The sequence below is a fragment of the Homo sapiens genome, chromosome 17 (assembly GCF_000001405.40).
Source record: "Homo sapiens chromosome 17, GRCh38.p14 Primary Assembly".
Classification (NCBI taxonomy): domain Eukaryota; kingdom Metazoa; phylum Chordata; class Mammalia; order Primates; family Hominidae; genus Homo; species Homo sapiens.
The window spans coordinates 78,982,924-78,989,927 of NC_000017.11; positions in this window are offsets into that span (position 1 = coordinate 78,982,924).

Here is a 7,004-nt window from a genome sequence, read left to right on the forward strand (position 1 = left end):
TAAATACCTAGGAGCAGGATTACTGGGTCATATGGTAGATATATGTTTACCTTTTTAAGAAACTACCCAGCACTTCAGGAGGCTGAGGTGGGTAGATCACGAGGTCAGGAGTTCAAGACCAGCCTGGTCAAGATGGTGAAACCCCGTGTCTACAAAAAAATACAAAAATTAGCCAAACATGGTGGTAGGCGCCTGTAATCCCAGCTATTCGGGAGGCTGAGGCAGGAGAATCGCTTGAACCCAGGAGGCAGAGGTTGCAGTGAGCCGAGATCACACCACGGTACTCCAGCCTGGGCAACAGAGCGAGATGCCGTCTCAAAAAAAAAAAAAAGAAAAGAAACTGTTTTCCAAAGTTGCTGAAACATTTTGCATTCTTGCTAGTAATTTCTTCATGTTCCAGTGGTTTAAATCGTCACCAATACTTGGTATTGTCAGTCTTTAAATTTCATCCATTCTGGTGGGCATGTAGTGAAGTTTCATTGTGGTTATAATGACGAATGATAGGCCGGGTGCTGTGGCTCACGCCTGTAATCCCAGCACTTTGGGAAGCTGAGGTGGGCAGATCACCTGAGGTCAGGAGTTTGAGACTAGCCTGATCAACATGGAGAAACCCCATCTCAACTAAAAAATACAAAAAAATTAGCCGGGCGTGGTGGCGCATGCCTGTAATCCCAGCTACTTGGCAGGCTGAGGCAGGAGAATCACTAGAACCTGGAAGGCAGAGGTTGCAGTGAGCCGAGATCGTGCCATTGCACTCCAGCCTGGGCAACAAGAGTGAAACTCCGTCTCAAAAAAACAGAAAAAAAAAAAAAAGACGAATGATGTTGAGCATCTTTATGCTTCTCTGTCATTCACACATCCTCTTTGGCAAAGCGTCTGTTCAAATCTTATGCACGTTTGAAAACTGGCTTGTTTGTTGTGTAAGTTCTTTATATATATTCTGTTCCTGTAGCAGATATATGATTTGCACTTTTATTTTTAATGAAAAGCTTGCTTTTCATTATCTTTTTTTTTTTTTCTTTTTTTTGAGACAGAGTCTCGTTCTGTCGCCCAGGCTGGAGTGCAGTGGTGCGATCTCGGCTCATTGCAAGCTCCGCCTCCCGGGTTCAAGCCATTCTCTTGCCTCAGCCTCCCGAGTAGCTGGGACTACAGGCGCCCGCCACCATGCCGGCTAATTTTTTGTATTTTTTTAAGTAGAGACGGGGTTTCACCATGTTGGCCAGGATGTTCTCGATCTCTTGACCTCGTGATCCACCCACCTCCGCCCCACAAAGTGCTGGGATTATAGGCGTGAGCCACCACGCCTGGTGAGCAGAGGGTGACTGAATAGAATGGGAGGCAGGATGGCCCTAATCAGTCCCAGCTTGACTTTTCCCTTTAGCTGGTGATTTTGGGGCCCAAGATATTTTCCTTTCACAACTCTGTTCTCTGTGGGAACAAATGACTTCAACTTTAAGGCAGGAGAATGGTGTGCACCCGGCAGGCAGAGGTTGCAGTGAGCCGAGATTGCGCCACTGCACTCCAGCCAGGGCGACAGAGAGAGACTCCGTCAAAAGAAAAAAAAAAGAATGTATCCATTTGTCTCTCATCTACCTGTGACCTGGAAGCCCCCTCCCCACTTGGAGTTGTCCTGCCTTTCCAGACTGAACCAATGTTCATTTTACATGTGTTGATTGATGTCTTATATCTCCCTAAAATGTATAAAACCAAGCTGTGCCCTGACCACCTTGGGCACACACTGCCAGGCCCTCCTGAGGCTGTGTCAGGGGCGCCCACGTCCTCAACCTTGGCAAAATAAACTCTAAATTAACTGAGCCCGGCTGGGCGCGGTGGCTCACGCCTGTAATCCCAGCACTTTGGGAGGGTGAGGAGGGCAGATCACTTGAGGTCAGGAGTTCAAGACCCGCCTGGCCAACATGGTGAAACCCCATCAATACCGAAAATATAAAAAATGAGCTGGGTGTGGTGGTGCACACCTGTAATCCCAGCTACTCGGAAGGCTGAGGCAGGAAAATCACTTAAACCTGGGAGGTAGAGGTTGCAGTGAGCCAAGATCACACCACTGCACTACAGCCTGTCAGGAGAGAGATTCTGTCCCAAATAAATAAATAAATAAATAAAATAAAGTAAATTAACTGAGGCCTGTCTCAAATTTTCAGGGTTCACAGGGTTGTCCCAGCACCATGGTGGGAAGACAGTCTTTTGTATTTCAGGTGAATTACCCTGGCTCTTTTGTCAAAAGTCAATGGGCCACATCCATAAGGGTCTATTTCTGGACCCTATTCTGTCTCACTTGTCGGTGTCTGTTTTTCTTATGGCAATACTACACTGTTTTGATTACTTACAGCATTATATTAAGTCTTGAAGCCAGATAGTATAAGTCCTTCAACTTTGCTTTTCTTTTTCAAAATCAAGTCTGTAGACCCATGAAGACGTATACTGTTTTGTTCTTTTGAGTCTCTGATTTCTTTCATCAGTGTTTTGTAGTTTCAGGATGTAGATGTCACACATCTTTTGTTAGACTTATACGTAACTATTTCCCGATTTTTGGTGCTACTGTAATTGACAATGTTTAAAAATTTTACAATTTCTAGTTGTTCACTGCAGTTATAATAAAGTTAAATTTTGTATGTGGAATTAATATATTAATATGTTAAATATTAATGTATTAAATTTAACATATTAATATATATTAAATATTAATATATTAAATTTAGTATGTGTAGTTTCGTGGTTTTTTTGAGACAGAGTCTCGCTCTGTTACCCAGGCTGGAGTATAGTCGTACAAATACTGCTAACTGCAGCCCCAATCTCCTGGGCTCAAGTGATCCTCCCACTTCAGCCTCCCATGTAGCTGGGACCACAGGCAGGCGTGACCACATCCAGCTAATCTTTACATTTTTTTGTAGAGACAGGGTCTTGCTATGTTGCTCAGGCTGGTCTTGAACTCCTGGGCTTAAGTGATTCTCTTGCCTGAGCCTCCCAAAGTGCTGGGATTACTAAAGGCGTGAGCCACCATGCCTAGCCTCGTAGTTATTTTTTGAAGATTTCTTAGGCTTGTCTAGCTAGTCAAAGCTTGTCACTGGCGAATAAAGATAGTTCTATTCCTTCTTTTCAAATCTGAATAACTTCCTTTTTTTTTCTTTTGCACCAATAGGATGAGGAATAAAAGTGATGAGAGCAATGTCAGTTTCCTGGGTTTGGTAAATGTACTGTGCTTAGGTAATCAGTACACTGGAGGGAGCCACATGAATGCTGCACAGAAACACGACTGCTGGCCCCGCTTATCTGCAGTTTCACTTACTGCAGTTTCAGTTACCCACGGTCAACTGAGGTCTGAAAATATTAAATGGAAGATTCCAGAAATAATTCATAAGTTTTAAATTGCATACTGTTCCTAGTGGGATGAAATATTGTGTCATCCTGCTCTTTCCCTTCTTCATCACAAGGGCGAGTACAGTACACTAAGATATTTAGAGAGAGACCACATGCACATAACTCTTATTTTAGACTATTGTTCTAATTGTTCTATTTACTATGTTACTGTTAATCTCTTACTGTGCCTAATTTATGAATTAAGCTTTATCGCAGGTATGAATGTAGAACAGTAAATTCCACATTATCTATGGTTTCAGGCATCCACTGCGGGTCTTGGAATGTATCCCCCACAGAAGGGGGATATGAACCAAAAAGTATCTGAGACTGTTCTCAACCAGTTAATTTTGCCAAGGTCAAGGATAAGGCCAGGGAGGCAAAACAAAACGTGACAAAACACGGAATCGCTGAAACAGTCTGTGGTCTGTGCCTTTCTCCAAAGGTGACTTTGAGGGCTTCCATATTTAAAGGGGAAAAGCAGGCTGGAGGGGGAAGTGGGAGGGTCCGGTCCTAGTGCTGCCGCCACGGGTTGCAAGAGAAGAGAAGCAGGCAGGGGAACAGTCAATCGTGTATTCATCTGGTGCTCAGTAAATTGGCACTTCACATAAGATAAGGTGAGCACAGTAGCTACCTGCCGAGGTCTTTAGCCTTTCCTCTGTCGCTCTCTGCTTAGGAACAAGAGGAAAGGCAGCTGCTTGCATGACTCAGCTCTCAGCTTCCTGTTTTTTCCTATTGGAAGGGTGCATTGCGGTTTTTATTTTCCTTTCATAGGACCTACTGTATTTTTGCAACTTCTGTGTGGTTCAAAATTTTATTTCAAAGGAAAAAATGGTGGGGAAGAAAGTGGTGAAAGCAGACACTCTTGCGTTGTTCCTCAGGGGGAAGGCATTCAGTGTCTGACCGTGAAGTAGGAGCTTAGCTGTGGACTTCTCACCGGAGCCCTTCATCGGGTTAAGGATGTTCCCTAACGGGTTTTTTGGCTTTTTGTTTAGAATTGGATTGGGTGAATGGCTGTTAGATTCTGTCAAATGCTTTTTCTCTATCTTTTGAGATTATCATGCTTTTCCCCCTTTTTAGTCTTTTTTTTTTTTTTTTTTTTTTTTGAGATGGAGTCTCGCTCTGTCGCCCAGGCTGGAGAGCAATGGGATGATGTCGGTTCACTGCAACCTCCGCCTCTCAGGTTCAAGCGATTCTCCTGCCTCAGCCTCCCAAGTAGCTGGGACTATAGGTGCGCCCCACCACCCCCAGCTAATTTTTCGTGTTTTTAGTAGAGACGGGGTTTCACCATGTTGGCCAGGCTGGTCTCGAACTCCTGACCTCAAATGCCCACCTCAGCCTCCCAAAGTGCTGGGATTACAGGCATGAGCCACCACACCCTGCCCCTTTTTAGTCTTCATATGAATTTCATTGATTGATTTCAGAATACTGAACTAACCCTGTATTCCTAGAATAAACCACACCTATCGTGAAGTATTCTTGTCAGAGACGTTTGAACCAGAGCCACTCCATCTTGAACCAGGTCTGGGTAAATTACGGCTGAGACCTGCTGGGCTGCATTCCCAGGAGGTTAAGGCATTCTTAGTCACTGGAGACAGAAGGTTGGCACAAGATACAGGTCATACCTTGCTGATAAAACAGGCTGGCCGGGCGCAGTGGCTCACACCTGTAATCCCAGCACTTTGGGAGGCCGAGGCAGGCGAATCGCGAAGTCAGGAGTTTGAGACCAGCCTGGCCAACATGGTGAAACCCCATCTCTACTAAAAATATACAAATTAGCAGGGTGTTGTGGCGCACGACTGTAATCCCAGCTACTCGGGAGGCTGAGGCAGGAGAATCGCTTGAACCTGGGAGTCGGAGGATGCAGTGCGCTGAGATTGTGCCACTGCACTCCAGCCTGGGCAACAGAATGAGACTCCATCTCAAAAACAACAACAACAACAAAACAGGCTGCAGTAAAGCCGGCTAAAACCCACCAAAATCAAGCGGCGATGAGAGTGACCTCTGGCTGTCCTCACTGCTATGCTCCTGCAAGCACCATGATAAATGCCATGGCAACATGAGGAAGTTACCCTCTATGGTCTAAAAACGGGAGGCATGAAGAATCCACCCCTTGTTTAGCATATCCTCAAGAAATAACCATAAAAAGGGACAGTCAGCAGCCCTGGAGCTACTCTGCCTTTAGAGTTGCTATTCTTTATTCCTTTACTTTTTTTTTTGAGATGGAGTCTCACTCCATCGCACAGGCTGGAGTGCAGTGGCGCGATCTCGGCTCACTGTAACCTCCATCTCCCAGGTTCAAGCGATTCTCCTGCCTCAGCCTCCTGAGTAGCTGGGATTACAGACATGCACCGCCACGCCCAGCTGATTTTTATATTTTTAGTAGAGATGGGGTTTCACCATGTGGTCAGGCTGGTCTCCAACTCCTGATCTCGTGATTTGCCTGCCTCAGCCTCCCAAAGTGTTGGGATTACAGGCGTGAGCCACCGCACCTGGCCTACTTTCTTAATAAACTTGCTGTCACTTTACTCTATGGACGTGCCCAGAATTATTTCTTGTGTGAGCTCCAAGAACCCTCTCTTGGTGACCTGAATCAGACCCCTTTCCGGTAACATTCTAATTTTTGATTATTGCTGAATTTGGCTTGCTAATCTGTGCTAAGGATTCTTTTTTTATTTTTTATTTTTATTTATTTTTTTTTTTTGAGACGGAGTCTCGCTCTGTCACCCAGGCTGGAGTGCAGTGGCGCGATCTCGACTCACTGTAAGCTCTGCCTCCTGGGTTCATGCCATTCTCCTGCCTCAGCCTCCCGAGTAGCTGGGACTACAGGTGCCCGCCACTGTGCCCGGCTAACTTTTTTGTATTTTTTAGTAGAGATGGGGTTTCACTGTGTTAGCCAGGATGCTCTCAATCTCCTGACCTCGTGATCTACCCGCCTCGGCCTCCCAAAGTGCTGGGATTACAGGCGTGAGCCACTGCTCCTGGCCAGGATTTTTACATCTATGTTCATGAGGGATACTGGTCTGTATTTTTTTTTTTTGTAATGTATTTTTCTGGTTTTGGTATCAGTATAGTGGTGCCCTCATAAAATGAGTTGGAAAAGTTTCCCAACTCCCAGAATCATGGAAGATTTTGTGTTGCTTTCGTATTATTTCTCCCTTACATGTTTGGTACAATTCAAAAGTGAAGCCATCTGGGCCAGGGGTTTTCACAGTGTGACGGTATTTTATTTTTGCTTTAACTCTTTTAACAGCATGAAGGGATAACTTACCTTGAGATTTATCAATTTAAAGTGTACCGTGGGCCGGGCGCGGTGGCTCACACCTGTAATCCCAGCACTTTGGGAGGCCGAGGCGGGCAGATCACAAGGTCAGGAGATCGAGACCAAACTGGCTAACATGGTGAAACCCCGTCTCTACTAAAAATACAAAAAATTTGCCGGGCACGGTGGCGGGAGCCTGTAGTCCCAGCTACTCGTGAGGCTGAGGCAGGAGAATGGCGTGAACCCGGGAGGCGGAGCTTGCAGTGAGCCGAGATAGTGCCACTGCAGTCTGGCCTGGGCGAAAGAGCGAGACTCCGTCTTAAAATAAAATAAAATAAAATAAATAAAATAAAATAAATAAAATAAAATA